Genomic DNA, 21,486 nt, shown 5'->3' with positions numbered 1-21,486 from the left:
ATAGATGTAGCTTTCGTCTTTGAAGTTTAAGACCAGTTGTAAATTCCTTGAAGTTCGTCCTATTTCCTTTTATATGAGCGTGTTAACAAGCTTTGGAAAACTGACAGAGCTTACAGGAAAGCATAGCTGGGTTGCTCCCTGAGCCGGGGCTTTAATTCAAACCAGAACCGGGGCCGGAGCACTGTGGCCCGGCTGGTGTTTACAAATGCAGCAGGAAGAGCCCGCTGCACAGTGATGAAGCCATCAACCTCAGATGCTTTCTGTAGACAAAGCCCCAGTTGGGATTAATTAAGAAAGGAAATGCCGCAATACTCCAAATCACTTCTCTAGTGGAAATCTTTGCACCAGATGAAACTCAACAATAAAAATGGAAGAAGAAAAAAGCAAAAAAATGAAAACACCTCCCAGAAATGTGTTGAACGGACACTTAGGTTTTTGTCAGTGAGGGCAGCCGAGGAAATCAGCTTCCAGTTCCTTGCACTGGAATCATGTGACATTTTCTACATACCCAGGAAGGAGAAGGCACCGGATAGGAGGCAAAGCTCTCCACTCCCAATTGGAAGCAGACCTTCTCATCCAAGAATACACTCTGAGCTCCCTCATCAAAAGCACTTTGGTGGGAGAGAATCAAGGTGCAGAATCTCCGTGCCATATGACAAGTCTAAAGGAAGGGCATTCTCAGCTGAAGACCATGTGACCAGCTGACATGTCAGGGGGGATTTAAGAAAAAACGTGGTCCCACTCATGGTTTGTCTTGGGTGCACGGTGAGTCTGACGGTATCTGGGGACAGATACATATGAAAGTGAAATACTTGGCATAAGCTGTGGAAATTAAAGGTAAAATTTTTTATTTTTATTTTTTAGAAATGGGATCTTGCTCTGTTGCCCAGGCTGGTGTGCAGTGGTGCGATCACAGCTCTCTGCAGCCTTGACCTCCTGGGCTCAAGTGACCTCCTGCCTCAGCCTCTCGAGTAGCTAGGACTACAAGTGTGAGCCGCTGCACCCAGCCTAGGTCAAAATTTAAGGGAGGCATGAAACATGGATCCCACAAGATTTGCCTGACTCCACTTGACAGTCGGTCTGCTCCAATCCGCTGTCTCTTGGACACTTGCTCTTCTCTCCAGAGGCCATCTGGGTTGGAGGAGAGAAAGGCCCCCTGCCTTCCTGAGAATGGTCCATGCACCCCACCTAGCCCCGCTCTGCCACAAAGTGCCATTGTGCTGCTCTTTGTCCCCCAGCTGTGAATTACATTCAGTGTACCTCCCACACATCAGTGAGGGCCTCGGGGCAACCTGGTTGATTTTTATTTTGATGAGATTTCAGGAAAAATAAATAAGTAAAATGTAAATCCTGTTGGCGAACATATACTTTCCATACAGCCCATCTTAGCCAAGCACATGCTGAGTCTCATGAACCCTTGGACATTTTGATTGTTACTAAAATTCCATGTGCACCTGGTTATAGGGCCAAAATATTCCACCAGAAATATAAACAATGGCAGAGGAGAGTCAAGCTCATTGGAACCATCTTGTTGAACAGGGACCTCATCTGGGAGAAAGCTGTGGGACTGGAAGTATCTGTGTGACAATGTGTGTCTCTAGCAGAGGAGGACTTCATGTTCAGGCGAGCAGTTCCCTTTGTAATGGCTTCTACCCTGAGGATCAGGAGCGAGTGGTTCAAGGCTTGGGCCCCCGAGTTGGACAGCTCTGAATGGAGCCCAGACCTTCCCTTACTGGCTGGGTAACAAGTAACTTTCCCTGGGTCTCTCATGTAAAAAAGTAGTGGTGACAAAATTTACCTTGAACATCATTTTGAGGACTAAGGGAGGGCGTGTGTGGGCCCCTCTCTGGGTTGGCCACGGAGGGAGTGTTTGGTAAATGGCAGCCACTCCAAAGCAAGCCATTGGATGGCTGCATAGTGACAGCATCCACAGATGCTGGTCAAATGAGACTTTCTAAGGCTGGGCACAGTGGCTCATGCCTGTAATCCCAGCACTTTGGGAGACTGAGGTGGGTGGATCGCTTGAAGCCAGAAGTTCGAAACCAGCCTGGCCAACATGGTAAAACCCCGTCTCTACTAAAAATACAAAAATTAGCTGGGCGTGGTGGTGCACGCCTGTAGTCCCAGCTACTCAGGAGGCTGAGGCAGAAGAATCATTGATCCCCAGAGGCAGAGGCTGCAGTGAGCTGAGACCATGCCACTGCACTCCAGCCTGGGCAACAAAGTGAGACTCTGTCTCAAAACAAAAACAAACAAACAAGGAAAAAAAAAACAAAACAAAAAAACAAAATCAGACTTTCTAGAAATAATGCCATTTTTATGTGCCCAGAAACCTGAGAGTATTCTAGTTCTTCCATGCTGTTGCCTCTGAATTATGAATCAAGGGAGATGAATATGGTACCTATTTAGGCAAAATGATTCTGAAGCAGACAACTGGACTTCCTCTACCTTCCCCCAGCACATCATGGGGTTGCTTTTTCACCACGTGTGTCTATGTGTTTGAAATATAGTTATTGAAAATAGATATTGTAAAAGCCTTGCACATGCATAGAAAAAACTCAACATTGACTAGTAGTGTAGAAGATCCCCTCCCAATACTTATTTCCCCTCCCAGGTCTTGTTTTCACTGCAAACACCCAAGGTAACTCTTATGATGCAAAGGGCATCTTTTCAGACCCTGTCTGTACTTAAAGAAACACACACACAACTTTGTTTTACAAAAGTGAGATCACTGTTTTCATTCAATCATACATCTTGAACAACCCTCACATCCATCCGTAGACTCTACCTCATTTGAAAAATAGATTGTAATTCTAATTTTTTTATTTATACACATATTTTTAAAGAGTTGGGGTCTTCCTCTGTCTCCCAGGCTGGAGTGCAGTGGTGCAATCACAGCTCACTGCAGCCTCGACCTCCCTGCCTCAGGCAATCCTCCCACCTCAGCCTCCCAAGTAGCTGGGACTACAGGTGTGCCCCACCATACTAGGCTAATTATTTTTTAATTTTACTTTTTGTGGAGACAGGGTCTTGTTATGTTGCTCAGGCTGGTCTCAGATTCCTGGCCTCAAGCAGTCCTCCTGCCTCAGCCTCCCGAAGTGCTGGAATTACAGGCGCCTGGCTAAATTATAATTTTTAGATCAGTTTTGGATTTACAGAAAAATTACAAAGATAGTACCGGGAGTTCCCATGTACTCCACACTCAATGTCTCCTATTATTAACAACTTCCATCAGTATGGCACGTTTACTATAACTAATGAACCAATATTGATATATCATTATTCACTAAAGCTGTACCTTATTCAGATTTCCCTGGTTCTTTTTTTTTTTTTTTTTTTCTTTTTCAAATGGAGTTTCACTCTTGTTGCCCAGGCTGGAGTGCAATGGTGCGATCTCGGCTCACTGCAACCTCCGCCTCCTGGGTTCAAGTGATTCTCCTGCCTCAGCCTCCTGAGTAACTGGGATTACAGACATGTGCCACCACGTCTGGCTAATTTTGTATTTTTAATAGAGATGAGGTTTCTCCATGTTGGTCAGGCTGGTCTCGAACTCCTGACCTCAGGTGATCCGGCTGTCTTGGCCTCCCAAAGTGCTGGGATTACAGGCGTGAGCCACCGCGCCCAGCATCCCTGGTTCTTATCTAATGCCCTTTCTCTGTCCAGGATCCCATCCAGAATCCCACATGACATTTGGTCATCACATCTTCTTAGGCGCCTTTGGGCCGTGACAGTTTCTCACACTTTCCTTTTTTTTTTTTTTTTAATGATCTTGACAGTTTTGATGAGTACTGGTCGGCTTTATTGTAAGATGCTGCTTTATTGAAATTTGTCTAATGTTTTCCTCATGATGAGACTGATTGTGGGTTTGGGGGAGGAAGACCACAGAGGTAGGGTGTCTTCTCATCAGATCATTTCAGAAGTACATGCTATCAATATGACTTTTCACTGTTGCTGCCCTCGATCAGCTGGCTGAGTTCCACCTTATTTTGATGCAGTTGCAAAGTGTCTCCTAGTGTTGGGAGGTATAATCATCTTTTTAACCAATTGAGGATTAGTTGAGGTATTGTTTTTTAAGTATTAGAAATTATGCCAAAGTGTACATCCTTATATTACCCTATTTGCTCAGTATTTCGGTTGTTTCTGTGCTATGATTCCTAGCTCAGTTTTGAGGTGTAACCTTATTTTAATTTTTCAGCAAGGCTTGTTGGCTCATGCCTATAATCCCAGCACTTTGGAAGACCGAGGTGGGAGGATCATTTGAACCCCTGGAGTTTGAGACCAGGTTGATCAATAAAGCAAGGACTCATCTCTACAAAAAAAAAAAATTAAAATTAGCTGGATGTGGTGGTGTGCACCTGTGGTCCTAGCTACTCGGGAGGCTGAAGTGGTGAGAGAATCACTTGAATCTGGGAGATTGAGGCTGCAGTGAGCCACGACTGCACCACCATACTCTAGCCTGGGCAAAAGAGGGAGACCTTGTCTCTCTAAAAAATAAAAATTTGCCATATCCTGCCAAATTGCCATCAGAAAAGATTGTTCCAGTTGGCCCTGCCTTGAACAGGTGCAGTTTCCCTTTGTCTTCCCCAACGACGAGCTTTGCCATCCTTTAAATCTTTGTCAGTGTCATAGAGGGGGAAAGACATACATTGAACTCAGTGACACTACATGCTGAGACTCTTTGCTTTACATCCATAGGGTGGTACCCCAAAGTCTATTTTTCAGAAAAGATTAGTTGCAGGGGCCAGTCCCAAAAGAAAATATACTCAATGCTAAACACCTGGAAGAGGTAGGAGAAACATGGGAGCTAAAATCAAAGTGCATTTTAATCTGAGAGTTTCAAAGCACCAACTCTCTAAGAGTTTCTTGTTTGCTAATGGGATGATGTGTCTGTTGGGCGAAGGACACATTTGGTCTTCCTTCCTTGTCCTCATTAATTCCATCTCGTCTCCACCTTTGGGATGCAGTTCCCATCTGAAAGGTCTGTGTCTTCGAAACCCTGGCCTCATCCCTAGGGTAGAGAGACTGGTTTTCCATGCGTGCGGCCTCTACTCTGTTTCAAAATTTATACAAATCACAGGGAACCAGTCCTTTCAAAACTGAAGATTTGACAACTATTTACATGCTGAATGAGAGCCAAGCTGTATCCACTTTTAAATGTTTATATCGGCTCGACAGCCGCTCTAAAGCAAAGGGAGCGTGGGCACCCTAGAGGTTTCAGCCCCAAGACCGCCAGCCCCGACATCCCCTTTCTCCACGATTTGACACGTGCCACTGGGGGAAACAAAACTAAATTCTTGCTGCTCCCCCAGTGCAGACCACCATCATCTCAAGTCTTCGAGATGACCCCTCAGGCCAAAACAGCTCTCGATCCCACCATCACCTCTGCCCTTACACTACGATATGGTCCTTTAGAACACTCACTGAATCCTGTTTACTTTACTGAATATATGTACTTGTTTATTTGATTACTGCTTGCATGACTACTAGAATGCAGGCTCCACGGGGAAAGGTACGATGTTTTGGTCACTCTTGAATCCCCAGTGCCTGGAACCATGCCTGACACATAGTAGGTGCTCAATAAACACACGGTCTCCTCCCATTTATTCTCCACGCTGCAGCCAGTGTCACCTTTCCAAAATGCAAAACTTACAAAGAAACTCTTTTCCCCAGCTCAAACCCTTTGGTGCCTCCCTGTCGCCCTCTGGGTAAATTTCCAACCTCTGAGCATGCCTCACTGGGTCCTACAGGATTGGACCATGCTCCACCTTCAGCGTCCTTGCCCACTCCTCTCACCTTCGGGTGCTCCAGCCACAGAGAGTCTGCTGGGTTCCTTGAAGGTAGATTCCCTCCCTCTTCTGGACCTTAGCTCTGTGCCCTTGCCTGGCCCCAACTTCTGCTAGTAAGGTAGCAACACCTCCTCCAGGAAGCCTTCCCTCTGCCCCTATCCTGTGTCTCTCAATATGCCTCCTGCCACTCTTCCCTTAGCCTAGTCCAAGTACTCAGAGCCAACAGGGAGCCAGAGAACCAGGCTGATGTTTCCCTGGGATGGTTGCTAAGACAACCTGAGATTCACGGAAGCCCTTAAAACACAGAGGTCAAGAGCTCACACTCTGGAGTTAGAACCGGGCTTGAAGATTTCCAAGGCACTTTTTTTTTTTTTTAAATTCTCTGAGCCTCAGTTTCCTCATCTGCAAATTGGGAATAATGCTTTTTTCTTGTAGTATGAGAAACATTAAGTTGGGTTTTTACCACTTTTTTAATGGAAATTTTTATTGAGGTAATTGTAGATTCACATGCAGTTGTAAGAGATAACACAGAGCCATCTCTTTTACACTTTGCCCAGGTCCCCCCAGAGGTAGTATTTTGCAAAACTGTAGTATAATATTTCAGTTGGGATGTTGGCATGGATGCAATTCAGGAATAATTCACAATGATAAGTTGTGAGTTTTTTCCCAGATATTTGTGTCAGAACATTCAGTAAATACGGCAATGGTGAGCATGAATTCAAATCTGGACTCTCATCTCGGTTCTGAGGTAAGTAGCTGTTGTTTTTGGCTGCCAGCACCCATTTCCCCATTCCCCTATTCTCTATATTTTGGTAATAGACCCTGCTTGCCTCCATGACACATAACTCAGGCCACAACAAGCAAAGTGGCTTATACTGTGGACTAAGTATTGGTGAGAGATGTGCCTGTGATCCGAGCAGAGCCTGTAAGAGTCCTTCCCTGGGAAATGTAGGAAGCTGTTTCCAACACTACGGCACAAGGGATCTGGGCTGAGGGATGTCCTCCCTGCCATGAGGTGACAGGCTGTTTCCAAAGACAAGTGGAAGAGAATCAGAGAAAGAGACAGAGAGACAGACAGGGAGGCAGCAGGTAGCAAAGTGCAGCTCTGCTTCTTTCTTATCTCTTTTTGCCTTTCTTTGAGCCTCACAATAAGTGTTCCAGTCCTCTGAGCCAACACATTGCCTTTTGGTAAAGCAAGCTTTTCATTATGCTTGTGACATGTGTGCCCAAGAAAGTCCAGAACCAACATCATCGTAAGCAAGTCACTCTGAGACTTAGTTTTCTCACCCTTGACATGGACAGTCATTCTAAATTATCAGTGTAACTCTGCAAAGATTCCCAGATAGGGTCTGGGGACCCATTGTGTTCCATCTACATGAACTCAAGTGAAATTGGCGTTCATTTATTATTTGTATGATGAAATCCTTGAAAGTTACAATAAGATTTCCAAGACTTGTTGAATTAAGGGGAAAGGGGACACGGTCATGTTTTTCTTCCCTGTGAACAAATTAATGGCATCATGGCACTGCAAACCTCAGTTTTACAGCTTCAGTGGGAACTTGGATTGTCTTTTTCCTTTGTGCTCCACATTACCCTCAATGTAGATTCTTGAAGACGAGCTCTCCTTCATGGTTGCCAACTGATAATTTAAGGTGAAGAATTTAAGAGGGAGGAAAGGAACTAGATGCTTGGCTAGCTCCACCTGAGGTCATATCCCAGCTTTCTGAAAGAGTGGGATTGTTAACAGCAGTGCTTCTTAATCAGGTGATTCTGTCCCCCAGGGGACACCTGGCAACGTCTGTAGACATTTTTGGTTTTCACAACCAGGAGGGTGTTACTGGCATAGAGTGGGTGGAGATCAGGGATGCTGCTGAACATTCCACAGTGCACAGGATGGCCCCCACCACCAAGAACGATCCAGCCCCAGATATCACTAAGTGTCAAGGCTGAGAAGCCCTGATGTGAAGCGCTCTGGCAGCCAATTGTTCAATTTCGCCTTAAGACATGGCCTATCTGTTCATTAATCACAACAGGAATGATCAGGTTAATTCCAGTAGGCGTTGTGGCAAGTGGGGGAAAGTTCCTCTCCCAAGAAGCTTTATGATCTGAAAGCAAGCATAGGGTAGAGGCAGAAAATAGAGCCAAACATAAATTGAGGTTTACTCTGGCTAGGGTGTTTGCTGTTGCCAATACGGCGGGCTTTCCCACCAAGCAAGGATGAGTGTTTTGACTACATAAGTTTAATGGCACCAATGAAGACGGGGCCTCGAAAGGCTTGTGGCTCATTTCACCAGATGTAAGTGGGAGCCTGCTCTGAGGCAAGCCCAATTCTAGGAACTGAGTACCTTGCAGTGGAAATACCAGGTGCAACCTCGACGCCTGCCGTTCTTGTTGGTGAGTGTTATGGGGGAAGAGAGGGAAGAGAATGAGTGAAATGAGTGGGGGCAGGGGAGAGGATGGATGCAGTATTATCCAATCAGTAACTTCACGACTCACCCAGGTGATCCTGGTTCTGGAACTCTCGTTTACTGGGGGGAAGGGAAGAGAAACTGACATTTATTGAGTTCTATTGAGGGCCCAACACTCTGTCTACACCATCTTGACTAATCTCACTAACCCTCCTCCTACCTCTATGAGATAGACACCTTATTTGGTTGGGACAAAGGAGGAAACTTAGGACCTGATAAAAAAGGAATTACTTCTATTTTGACATGACTCCATTTCAACTTTGTTTACAATGAGAAAAAAATTAGACATAGGTGGCGCCACTGCACTCCAGCCTGGGGGACAGAGTGAGACCCATCTCAAAAATAAAATCAGCAGGAGTGTATGGGTGGGGTACCCTCCTTCCTTCCCCTCTTCCTCCTTCCTCCCTTCCCTCCTCCCTCCTGTCACCTCCCCAGAGAGGTCACCTCCTCTCTGCGGAGGTGACAGGAACAGAGACCTGAAGACAGAACAACAGCAAGCGAGGGAGAGGTGGTGACAAGTGGTGGGATTCTGGACATGGGTCTCAGCAGAGCTGGCAGGATTCGCTGAGGGATCAGACAAGAGATGGGAGAGACTGAAAGGTGTCAAGGAAGATGTTCATTTGTGCTGACTATGAAAGAAATACAGGAGCATCTATTTTGTTCACTCGTACTCTCAACATCCGGCACAATATTTAGCACATTGTAACACAGAAAATGTTTTGTAAAAGTCCTCTTGCTTCTTCTCCTCCCTCCTAGTTAGCTGCCTGGAATACAGGTGTGATGGCTGGAACTCCAGCAGCCATAAAGAATCATGAGGTGACATCTTTCTGAAGCTACATACTAGGGACAGTGGAACAGAAAGACAGATGGTGCTGAAATCCCTGATAAGTGTAGAGTCTCCACCCTAGCCCTGGGCTACTCATCTTCAGACTTCTTTCACACAAGAAGATATCTTTCTGTTTCTTTTAAGTTATTATTTCACTCTGGCTTCTGTTCCTAGCAGCTGACTTTGATTTCCAACTGCATAATGCTATGTCTAATTTTTTTTGAGATGGGGTCTCACTCTGTCCCCCAGGTTGGAGTGCAGTGGTACAATAATGTCTAATTTTTTTCTTATTGTAAACAAAGTTGAAATGGAGTCATGTCAAAATAGAAGTAATTCCTTTTTTTTCCAGGCCCTCAGTTTCCTCCTCTGTCACAACCAAGTGCGGAGTCTATCTCACAGAGGTAGGAAGAGAGTTAGTGAGATTAGTCAAGGTTGTGTAGACAGAGTGCCGGGCCCTCAACAGAACTCAATGTTAGCTTCTCTTCCCTTCCCCCCAGTAAACGAGAGTTCGAGAACCAGGAGCAGCTGGGTGAGTGGTGAAGTTCCAGACTGGATAATAGAGGGTCCTCCACAGCGGTGTTGCTCACAAGTGTGACTCACAGAAATAATTTAAGTTTTTATAGTAGAAGCAATAAAAAATAGTAAGGAACAGGTGAAAAGAATTTTAATAATATATTTTATTTAAGCTAATATGTGCATAATATTACCATTTCAACATGTAATCATTACTAAAAACTATTAATGAGTTGTTGGGTTTTTTTTTGGTGCTCAGTCTTCACATCTGATATGTGTTACACACTCACAACACATCTCAGTTTGGACCAGCCACATTCCAAGGGTTCAGGAGCCATGTGGTGTGTGGCCACTCTTGGATATCACAGGTCTAGAGCCCTGAGGTTCACTGTACCCAAGCAGATGATGACAGCTACAGACCCTGGCAGAACCAGCCCACGCTGAGCCCCTTTTGCCACTTGGAACACCTTGAAGTGGTCATACCAATGACTTCTCTGTTCACTCGACACAGAGCACAGTCCTGCGTGGGTCCAACAAGACTTGGTCCAACAAGACTTTGGAGAGACAAATGTCCTCTACGGACCCAATGTGTGCGGGTTTGTTCATCCATTTACCCAACAAGTATGTGCTGATTGGGGACACAGCAGTGATAAGACCTTTCTCCGGTGTGGTGGTTGTCAATGAGGGACAATTTTTTCTCTTAGGGGACATGTAGAAATGCCTAGAGACATCTGTGGTTGTCGCAACTGAAGGTGGGGGAAATGCTATTGGCCTCTAGTGGGTAGAGGCCAGAGATGCCAATAAACGTTTTGCAATGCCCAGGACAGCCCCCCGACAAGAATGATGCAGTCACCAATGTCAGTGGGGCTAAGGTTGAGAAACCTTGTTACGGTGAGGGAGCCTTGTAATCACCATAGCACGACATGTTTATAATGAGAAAAGCCAGGGGGCTTGGAAGCACATAGGAGAGACCGTTAGCATGTGATGTCTGTGCTGAAATCAGAAGGATGCACCATGCTGTGGGCAAAGAGGGAAGGCAAAGAGTGCATCAGGCAGATGGCATGGCATGTGCAAAATTGGGGGACGAGAGAGGGCTGATTTTCTTGGAGGAAGCAGAGGGGGCTGTGTTGCTGGAGTGGGCGGTGCAAGGGGAAGAATGGAACAGCTGAGGTTGAAGAAGCCATATATAGAGGTCAGATCATGTAGATCACTTAGTTAAGAAGCTTGACTCAATCTCAAGGGCAATAGGGAGCCATAGAAGGTTCTGAAGTGAAGTGAGGGTTTGTGAGCAGAACAGATTTGTCTCTTAGCAAACCAGGCAAGAAGACCCTTTTGGAGGCAGTTATGGTCATTCAGTATTATTTAAAGACCTCAGAGTGGGCTGCAGGGCTCACACGCCTATAGCCTCTAACCAGTTCTGCCTGTTTTGCCGCTGCTGCCACTGCTGCCACTGCTACCGCTATTGTCTGTTTGATGCATTTGGCGAGGGGTGATACCACGCTTCTGCATTTCCCCTTGAGCAGCATCTGACCATGACTAGCTCCCTGAGACTTTGTCCTTCTGAGGAGGTGGGAAACCAGAGGGCCATTCTAATGGCCCCTTCCTGCCCCCCTTCCCCTCCATGCCCCTCCGCAGACTGGCTGGGCTTGTCACTAAACCAACCCTCCCGAGGTCCCAGCCCCAGGAACAAAAGCCCCAGACCATTTCCAGTAATGCAATTTCATGCTCCGAGGTCTTTCACCACTCTTGGAGCTTTTTTTTGGAGTTCTTTATTCCAAAAAGTGCGTGTTCTCGAGAAAGACAAAACAAAGCCCAGCATTTCTGTTAGTTCCAGTAAGCGCTTCGAAAAGTCCCAGCTCTCCTTCTGACAACTGTGCTTCCTTTGCGGCCACCGCCACCAGATCTAATTTTTTTTGTTTTGTTTCGTTTTTCTTAAAAATGAGTCTCCAGGCTGGGCGCGGTGGCTCACGCCTGTAATCCCAGCACTTTGGGAGGCCAAGGAGGGCAGATCACCTGAGGTCGGGAGTTTGAGACCAGCTTGGCCAACATGGTGAAACCACGTCTGGGCGTGGTGGCAGGCACCTGTAATGCCAGCTACTCCGGGGGCCGAGGCAGGGGAATCGCTTGAACCTGGGAGGCAGAGGTTGCAGCGAGACGATATTGCACCACTGCACTCTAGCCTGGGCACAGAGCAAGACTCTGTCTCAAAGAAAAAAACAAAAACAAAAAGAGTTTCCTTTGGTGAAAACTTTTTTTAAAAAATTATGAATCCCCTCCCCCTCCTCCTCCTCTCTTCCAATGTTACTCTAGTTTGCTCCTGCTCCTTTCCGAGCAGGAATAACTGCACTCCAGAAAGGACAGGAAGAGGGGCAGGCAAATACTGACGGGGTGTCAAGCTGCCTATAAGAATGAAAGTGGGCGCTCTCTTGGCTTCAAAGGCCTCTGCCCTGGAAAGAACCCAAATGTCCATCAACAGATCAGTGGATCAACAAAATACAGAATATCCCTACTAAGGAATATCATTTGGTCTCAAAAGGAATAAAATTTGAACACTTGGTGCAACATAGATGAACCTTGAAGACATGAAGCTAAAGTGAAAGGAGCAGACACAAAAGGACAAACACTGGGCGAGTCCACTTTCCGGAGGTTCCTAGAGCAGGTAAATTGATAGGGACAGAAGATAGAAAGGAAGTCGTCAGCCGCGCAGGGGAAGAGGGGGCGGGGTGTTAGTGTTTAATGGGGACAGACTTATAGTTTGGGTTGACAAACACCTGGAGTTATAGTTTGGATGACCACACCTGGAGACGGGCGGTGGTGACGGTTGTGCAACAACGCAAATGTACTTAATGCCTCTGAGCTGTGTACTTAAACATGGTTAAAATGGTAAGTTTTATGTCATTTGTATTTTACCACGATTTTTTAAAAAAGTAATTTGTTCTTGACATGTTTTCCACTCAAGAGTCCGGGTTCCAAAGGAATATAAATCATTCTATCACACAGACAATGCACACGTATGTTCATCACAGCACTATTCACAATAGCAAAGACATAGAATCAACCCAAATGTCCATCAATGATAGACTAGATAAAGAAAATGTGGTACATGGGCTAGGCGCGGTGGCTCATGCCTGTAATCCCAGCACTTTGGGAGGCCAAAACGGGCAGATCATGAGGTCAGGAATTCAAGACCAGCCTGACCAACATGGTGAAACCCCGTCTCTACTAAAAATACAAAAAGTAGCCAGGCATGGTGGCACACGCCTGTAATCCCAGCTACTCAGGAGGCTGAGGCAGAAGAATCGCTTGAACTCGGGAGGTGGAGGTTGCAGTGAACCGAGATGGTGCCAATGCACTCCAGCCTGGGCAACAGAGTGAGACTCTGTCTCAAAAAAGAAAAGAAAAGAAAAGAAAGAAAATGTGGTACATATACACCATGGACCACTATGCAGCCACAAAAGAAACAAGATTATGTCCTTTGCAGGGACATGGATGAAGCTGGAAGCCATTATCCTCAGCAAACGAACACAGGAACAGAAAACCAAACACTGCATGTTCTCAGTTATAAGTGAGAGCCTAGCAATCAGAACACAGGGAGGGCAACAACACACACTGGGGCTTGTTGCAGGGGGAATGAGGGAGGGAGAGCATCAGGATATATAGCTAATGCATGCGGGGCTTAATACTTAGGTGACGGGTTGATGGGTGCAGCAAACCACCACGGCACATGTTTACCTATGTAACCAACCTGCACGTCCTGCACGTGTATCCCAGAACTTAAAATTAAATTAGATTAAATTAAATTAAATTAAATTAAATTAAAAAAAAGAAAAAAGAGTCAGGGTTTGCCTTCCTTGAAATTGCTTCTCTTAGAGAAGTCCCGAGCAGCGGAAGTGTTAGCTCGGATGTAGTTTGGATCTGTGTCCCTGCCCAAATCTCATGTTAATTTGTAATTCTCAGTACTGGAGGTGGGGCCTGGTGGGAGGTGATTAGCTCGTGGCGGTGGATTTCTCATGACTATTGTTGTCACAACTGAAGGTGGGGGGAATTCTGTTGTCCTGTAATGGGTAGAGGCCAGAGATGCCAATAAACATTGTGCAGTGCCCTGGACAGCCCCCTAACAACAAAGAATGATGCAGTCCCCAATGTCAGTGGTGCCAAAGTTGAGAAACCTTGTTCTGGAGAGGGAGCCTCGTAATCACCATGGCATGACATGTCCATAATGAGAAAAGCCCAGGGGGCTTGGGAGCACATAGGAGGGACCGTTAGCATGTAATGTTTGTGCTGAAATCAGAAGGATGCACCATGCTGTGGGCAAAGAGGGAAGGCAAAGAGTGCATCAGGCAGATGGCATGGTGTGTGTGAAATCGGGAGACGAGAGAGGGAAGTGCCATTCTCTTAGTGCTGTCCTCACAATAGTGAGTGACTTCTTGCAAGATTTGGCTATTTAAAAATGTGGCACCTCCCCACTCTCTCTCTCTTGCTCCTGCTCCTGCTATGTGACATGCCTGCTCCCCCTTCACCTTCTGCCATGATTGGAAGCTTCCTGAGGCCTCCCCAGAAGCCAAGCAGGTGCCAGCATCATGCTTCCTGTAAAGCCTGCAGAACTGTAAGCCAATTAAACCTCTTTTCTGTATAAATTACCCAGTCTCAAGTATTTCTTTATAGCAATGCAAGAACGTCCTAACATAGCTGCCAAGCGTACTTATTGTAAACTCTGTTGTGTCTGTCTGGTAGTCATCCCTGCTTCTTTTAATAGCAACTCAATTTTTCTGGAAACCTCCCTCTCACTCCCAAACACACACACATGCATTTACTACATTTACCATCTTAGCCCACGTGGTTGGGGTAGAGCTGGCCCAGCCTCCATACCAAGGACCCTGGTCTGGTTGATCAGCATAATCCATCCCCTTAGTTACTTAATATGTGCAGGAATGGGTACAGGACACATATTGGTGCAATCATAGCACTCCCAAGACCCAGGAACAAAGGTATCAGCCCTTTGAACCTGCTGAGAAGGTGGGACATAGGGCTACATCTGCGTGCAACCTTGGAGGGGAAGCTTGACTGAAAGTAATGGCAATGGGAGAAAAAGAGACAAAAGACGCATAGAGATCCACTCCTGATATTTGAGTCCCTGGATCCAGCCATGCCTGAAGCCAGATACTCTTTGACCTTTCAGGGATATGAGTCAAATATTTTTCTATATTGCTGAAGCCTGAATTGAATTTCTGTACTGACAGCTTAGTAGAGTCCTGAGTAAAATCCTTTCAGCAACCCCTTGGGGTGACCTTTTTTTTTTTGAGACGGAGTTTTGCTCTTTCACTCAGGCTGGACTGAAGCAGTGTGATCTCAGCTCACTGCAACCTCTGCCTCCCCGGGTTCAAGCAATTCTCCTTCCTCAATAGCTGGATTATTGGCACCCGCCACCACACCCGGCTAATTTTTGTATTTTTAGTAGAGACAGGGATTCGTCATTTTGGCCAGGCTGGTCTCAAACTCCTGACCTCAGGTGATCCAGCCACCTTGGCCTCCCAAAGTGCTAGGATTACAGGCATGAGCCACCATGCCCGGCTGAGCATTTTGATAATCAATACCTATTTTACAAATCTTCCGAGGTTGAGTATAATTAAGTAATTTGCCCAAGTTCATCTAGACAGAAAGTAATGGAATCATAATTCTATCTCCAGAGTTTGCATGTTTAATCCCTGTCTTGTGTGGCCTCATAAGAGGATGTGAGGAAGACTGTTCTAGCATCAGAGGGTGGTCAAAGTATGTCTTGTAGCCTTGAAGCCCTTACTATTTCCCCCCAGATCTCTGTCCTGTTCTTTTGTCCTTACTTTTCTTGTTTTTACTGCATGATCTTTTCTGTTTCTTCCCTCACTGGTCTTTACCTTTGACTTTCTCCCTTTCTTTCTTAACCTCTTTTCTCCACTATCAGACCTCCTGGCCAGAATCCCCTTTCAATTCCCTCCCACTGTTGACCTTCGAGGATACTAAACAGGAATTTTTTCTTTGTGTACCAGAGCTTCTTAAGCCCTTCCTGCCCCAAATTCAGAGGTGAGCCGGAGCAGGGGAAAGGTGGGATGTGAGGGGAAAGGCAATATATCACTTAGAAAGTAATAAGTCAAACTCAAAATGCTTTAAACATAGGGGGGTTATTATTTCACTGAAGTGGGGTGGGCCCAAGGTTGGATAATCCATGGCTTATTCACTTAAGGACCAAGATTCTTCCTCTTTTTGTATTCCACCATCTTTGGGTTACTCCCCTCATAGTCTAAACGTGGCTGCCATTGCCCAGTTATTATCTTCTCATACAGCCTCATCTGGAGGGAGTAAAGGACTGCATCTTCTTGATAACTTTTTTCTTCCTTCCTTTTTTTTTTTTTTAATGAGACAGGGTTTCACTGTGTCACCCAAGTTGGAGTTCAGTGGAGTAATCTTGGCTAACTGCAGCCTCGACCTCCCAGACTCACGTGATCCTCCTGTCTCAATCTCCTGAGTAGCTGGGACTACAGGCATGCACCATCACAGATGGCTAATTTTTGTATTTTTTATAGAGACAGAGTTTTGCCATGTTGTCCAGGCTGCTCTTGTACTTCTGGGCTCAAGTGATCTGTCCACCCCCCTCAGCCTCCCAAAGTACTAGGATTACAGGCATGAGCCACTGTGCCTGGCTAATACTTTTCTTTCAAGAGCAGGAAATCTTCCCCAGAAGTCCCCTCAGTAGACACCCCCTCACTTCTCATTGGCTGGAGTTGAATCCCAAGCCCACCCTCAAACCAATCCCTGGCAAGGGGAATGGGCTTATCAGACAAGCAACCCAGTTACTATAGCTGTGTAACAAATTATCCTCAAACTTAGAAGCATAAACATTTTTTATGCTAATGGATTCTGAGTCAAGAATTCGGGTGGCAGAAGCAGCCTGTCTCTGCTTTAAGGTGTCTGGAGCCTCAGTCAGAAGTCTTAAAGGCTGGGGCTAGAATCATCCGAAGGCTCACTCACTCCATATCTGGTGGTAGAGACCGGCTGTTGGCTGGAGGCCTGTTTTTCTTCATGGGCCTCTCCATGTGTTCTACCCATGTGGGCAGGCTTGGGCTTCCTCCCAACATGGTGGCTGGGTTCCAGGGATGAAGGGGGTGGGGGAGAGACAGAGACAAGCAAAAGCTACATCGCCTTTTCTGACCTGACCTCAGGAGTCATTCAGGCTCACTTCCACTGCATTCTAGTCGCCGAAGCAGCCACAGAATCCACCCAGGCTCAAATGACAGGGAAATCAATCACCTCTGCCACTTAACAGAGTGTGGCAAGGCCCCGGAAGAGCATGTGAGGCCAGAGAGATCATTATAGCCATTTGGAGAAAATAGCTTCTGCCACACCTGGGTTGGAGCCTACCTTTCCTGAAACTCACCCTCCCTCGGGGCTGTGGGGGAGAGAAGCGGGGTGCTGTTGGTTAGGTGGGAGAAGGGCGAGCAATTGGTGAGTAGGGAACTGCATCTGCTACAAAAGGGACAGGACCTGTGTGCTGGCTCCAGCCACATGAGCCTCCGTGCATTCCTCCCACATACCACGTTCTTCTGCCTCGGGGCCTTGGCACATGCCGTTCACTCTTCCTGGAACATGCTTCCATTCTTGGCCCATCTGATTCTTCCCCATCTTTCCAAGTGCAGCTTCAAGGGCGTTTCCTCCGACAGTCTTGCTGATCTCCAGCCTGAATCAGGTTCCCTTTCTAGAATCGCCCAGAGCAGACCCTGCTGTTCGCTCCTGGCCTTCTCACGGCGATTAAGAACTCATCACAGGCATGCAGGGTCCTGGTTATAGGTGTGGCCTCTGAACCAGGCACCTCGTATTCAAATCCAGGCCCTGCTCCTCACTGGCTGAGCAACCTCGGGCAAGTCTCTTGACCTCTGTCAGCCTTGGTTCCCTGATTGAGGATCCTAACAATCAACCTACAGGATCAGGTTCTTATGAAGATTAAATGCGATACTAGAGGCAAAGCTCTCAGGTGAGTGCCTGGCACATGGCAGGTGCCTGGTCTGCCCCTATTCTCGAATCTGTTCCGTGTCTCTCTCCCCTGGCAAACTGCAGGAGTGTCTGCTATGCTCACCCCCAGCCCATTCTTCTTAATCCCCAGCATGGCCATGTGGCCCATGTGGTGTCGGCAGTAAATCAATATTTGTTGAATGAATTAATAAATGAATAAATGAGTAAGTCTTCTTCCAACAGAAATGACCTCAGACTTGATTTCAACTAGAAGCCCAGATGAACACACCTGCTCAGATCGTGCATTTGCCCCAGCGTGTGGACTCCTTATTAAGGGCCTTAAGATTCCATGGGAATCCGCAGAGCACAGATGTGTGTATGTGGGGTGCGGGGGGTGAGGTGTGGGTTGGGGGATGCTGGGCGGGAGCAGCGGTTGCCCAGCCTTTGCCAGGGAAGGGCCGGTTGTGTGGGTGGAGCCCATCTGCAAGGCAATCACACTTCAAAAGCAGAGGCTGAAGGCAAGTGGAGACTCGCTCCTGCTTGCTCCTGAGCCTCCAGGGCTTCCCAGCTTCCACCTCTGATCTCGGAAGTCTTACCTGTTCAAGTGGGGGAGGGCAAGGGGCAGCTGGAGCTCCCAAGGTTCTCCGCACCCCACCCTCACTTCAGACCAACACACAATAAGTTATTGTACCAGGACACTTACCAGCAATAAAATGAGTAAAGAAAGTTTTTTTTTCAGCAAACAAGTTATTTCATAGAGGGAGCTCTGGGAAGGGGCAGAGAAGCCTCTGAAGGGAACAAACAAGTGGGGTCAGGTTGGACTCCGCCAGGCTCCCACCTCCTCTCCTCGCTGTGCACAAACCACCCTGTGCCCAGGGATGAAAGCTCCCCAGGAAACCCGGAAACAGCACCCGGGAGGCAGGCTGGCCCTGGGACAGGCCCCCAGCCATGGGTGGGGATGGCTTGGCTGGGTCCTTCCTTGATTTAACTATTTTAATCCAGCAGCTCCTAGAGGCACACACGAGGATAGACATTACCTCTGCAGGAAGGGCTGGAAAAAACTTAGAGGGTTCACTCCCACAGCCCGTGGAAAGCTCAGCAGGCCGGTCAGGTGTGAACTAGGGAAGAGGAAGCACTCCCCTGCCAGGAAAGCCAGAGAGCCCAGCCTCACCTCGGCCCCAGCCGCCTCCCTCCCACCTGAGACACTCACTCCATCTTAGAACCATCTTTCCTGCTCACGCCTCTCCCCAGTCACTGCTTTGAGCAATAAGATGTTAATCCCTTTCCAAGAGGTACAGGAAATTAAAAGCAGAAGCACTGAAGACCTTGTGAGGAACAAATTAATCCCACCACACCCACCCCTTTAACCTGTTCTCCACCTCCCCAGGAGCGCTCCCCCAAATTCCCGCTGTCTTTGTGAGCCATGGTGTGTGCGTGGGGAGCTCCGCTGCCACGGTCTTATTTTGCAGATGAGTAAGTCGGGGCTCAGTGAGGTTTGGAAGTGATTTGGTTAAAGGTGCAGGGACGTTTTGTCACCAGAAATTCACATCCCGTGGAGAAGGTAAGAGGGAGGAGATGACAGTCGGGCAAGTATTATTCCAGAGACATTCTATGAGTTTGCGAGGTCACTTGGCAAATGAGTAGGAGGAAGGGACAGGGATGGAGGAGAAACAGGGCTCCTGAGTTCAAGTTGAGACAAAGGGGTTTCAGAATTTCTGCCTCGGAGGGGCTCAAGGCTAAGCCCAGATGTAAGGGGAGCCTAGGCATGTCTGAAGCCTCCACTCACAGAGGAAGCATGGTTTTTACTTAGAGAGTATGTTAGTTCATTCATTTGTATGTTCATCTCCCCTTGGCACCGCCCCTGAGGTGAGCAATTCAGGAAACTGAGGCCCATTTGCATGCAGCCAGGGTGAGAGGTGCCTATGTCTGTCTGCCCTGGCAGAAAGAAGAACCCCGGGGGATGCAGGAGGTCACGGGTGACAGTGTGTGCCCGGTGGCTGTCCTTATGGCTTTTTTCTTCACTGTTAATCCTCTAATGAGCAAGGTGAAAAGAAACCCGCGCCTGCTCAGCCACCCTGCAGGGAGTTGGCTCACGGGCCTGGGCCTTGGGCTCCACAAAATACTCAGGGAAAAAGAGGCTGAAACTCCTCCTCCTCGTGGAGTTGGGGTTTATAATTACGTTCTCCAGGGCTGAGCCAGCAAGTCGTGTCAAAAACGCAGTGGCTGGCCGTGTCCCTGCCTTGATCAGCTGTCCTGGTGGGCCTGGGGCTCCCTGAATAAACTGCTTTATGCCGCCTGTGCCCTGCAAGTGGGCGGCTGTCCGGCGGGGCGTGACTGCCTCTCCTCACTGTCTCCTAATATCCAGTCTTACCCCCAATCCCCCTGCCTCTGCAGCCCCTCCCCCTCTTGGTCTACACAGCAGGATTTGCTTCTCCATCTGTCAGGGTTATTGGAAGCTTCTTCAGCACGAAAGTACTCAGTGCCTTCTGTGGGCCAACACGCTGCTGGGCTCCGGGGAGACACCATGGGGAACAGACAGACCTGCTCTCACGGACCTTACAGTCTAGTGGGGAAGGAAAAGGCTAGAGGAATAAATATCAAGTTGTAAGTTGTGACGAGCTCAGCCAAGGAGGTAAAGAGGATGCTATGAGAGGCCAGTCACAGTGGCTCACCCCTGCAATCCCAGCACTATGGGAGGCCGAAACAGGAGAATCACTTGAGCCCAGGAGTTTGAGACCAGTCTGGGCAACATGGCAACATCCCATTGCTACAAAAAATGTGAAAATTAGCAGAGTGTGATGGTGTGCACCTGCAGTCCCAGTGACTCGGGAGGCCGAGGTGGGAGGATCACTTGAGCCTGGGGAGGTTGAGGCTGCAGCGAAGTATGGTGGTGCCCCTCCACTCCAGCCTGGGCTACAGAGCAACGCCAGTCTCAAAAAAAAAAAAAAAAAAAGGAGGGTACTATGAGGCCACAGGGACCAAGCTACACTCGCCAGGTGGCCCGGGCAGGCCTCTCTGAGGAAGGAGGGCCAGATAAGGGGCCATGCTGGGGGGAGAAGGAGGTAGCCAGGGACAAGGTCCAACCTGAGGCAGGAGGCAGGGTGCTGAGCTGAGCCCCCGCTGTCCCCAGGGCTCTCTGTGAACTCACTCACTCACTCTCCCGAGGAACGGGTGAGCCAGCATCATCCGTGCCCTGCAAGTAAGACGGCTGCAGAGAGGCCCAGCATTTTGCCTAAGGCTGCTGAGCTTATAAGTGGCAGAGGCAGGATTTGAACACAGGCCACTCACCTGGCCCCAGAGCCAGTGTGTATAATAGGCCACCTCACCCTGGGGGAGGCTGCCGGCATGTGGCGCCACTGCTGCAAAGGCCCTGTGCCTCTGAGGCGCTGGCTACCTGCTTGCCTCTCCCAGAGCAAGCCAGGCAAGGCTTCACCATGGATCAGAAGGCACCCATCTCCCTGCCCAGGGGTGTCGAGCCCCTTGGCACCACAGAAAGGAAGGAAGTGAGGGGATTGAGTCACTATACCTGGGGAAACTGAGGCTGAGAAGAGACTCCAGGTCCTTGGAGATTGGAGGGATGTGGGTCCTGATCCATCGGTCTGTGCCCAGCTGCCTCACCACCGCCTCTCTCCTGATTTGGGCTCCCCAGGCCCCAGCATGGAGCCTGCAGCCTGGTGCCCAGTAGAGGCTTTTTGATTAATTCACTGACCATCAATTTACAAGGTTTTCCTCAGCTTGGACCATGAAATCTGCATATCCACACCTGGTCCCTACCAGGGTTTTCAGTGTGTGTCGAGGTCAGAGTGTGTGTGAGTGTGTCTGTGTGTGTGAGGGGGAGGAAGTGTGTGTCTGTGAGTGTGTCTGTGGGGGGGAGTGAGTGTGTCTGTGTGTGGGGGAGGGAGTATCTGTGAGT

The 21,486-nt window shown here is 48.0% G+C and overlaps 3 annotated features.

The window, feature by feature from the left end:
• Positions 17,753–18,381: an enhancer, noted in NCBI's record as "H3K4me1 hESC enhancer chr20:55383713-55384341 (GRCh37/hg19 assembly coordinates)". NCBI's record gives its function as "activates a minimal SCP1, AML or CMV promoter by ChIP-STARR-seq in naive H9 embryonic stem cells {active_cell/tissue: H9 hESC(naive)}" and the evidence as "EXISTENCE:reporter gene assay evidence [ECO:0000049][PMID:30033119]".
• Positions 19,013–19,642: an enhancer, noted in NCBI's record as "H3K4me1 hESC enhancer chr20:55382452-55383081 (GRCh37/hg19 assembly coordinates)". NCBI's record gives its function as "activates a minimal SCP1, AML or CMV promoter by ChIP-STARR-seq in naive H9 embryonic stem cells {active_cell/tissue: H9 hESC(naive)}" and the evidence as "EXISTENCE:reporter gene assay evidence [ECO:0000049][PMID:30033119]".
• Positions 19,643–20,273: an enhancer, noted in NCBI's record as "H3K4me1 hESC enhancer chr20:55381821-55382451 (GRCh37/hg19 assembly coordinates)". NCBI's record gives its function as "activates a minimal SCP1, AML or CMV promoter by ChIP-STARR-seq in naive H9 embryonic stem cells {active_cell/tissue: H9 hESC(naive)}" and the evidence as "EXISTENCE:reporter gene assay evidence [ECO:0000049][PMID:30033119]".

This window comes from Homo sapiens, chromosome 20 (assembly GCF_000001405.40).
Source record: "Homo sapiens chromosome 20, GRCh38.p14 Primary Assembly".
Classification (NCBI taxonomy): Eukaryota; Metazoa; Chordata; class Mammalia; order Primates; family Hominidae; genus Homo; species Homo sapiens.
Note: the sequence above shows the minus strand (reverse complement) of the source record. Positions and strands in the feature narration are given on the sequence as shown.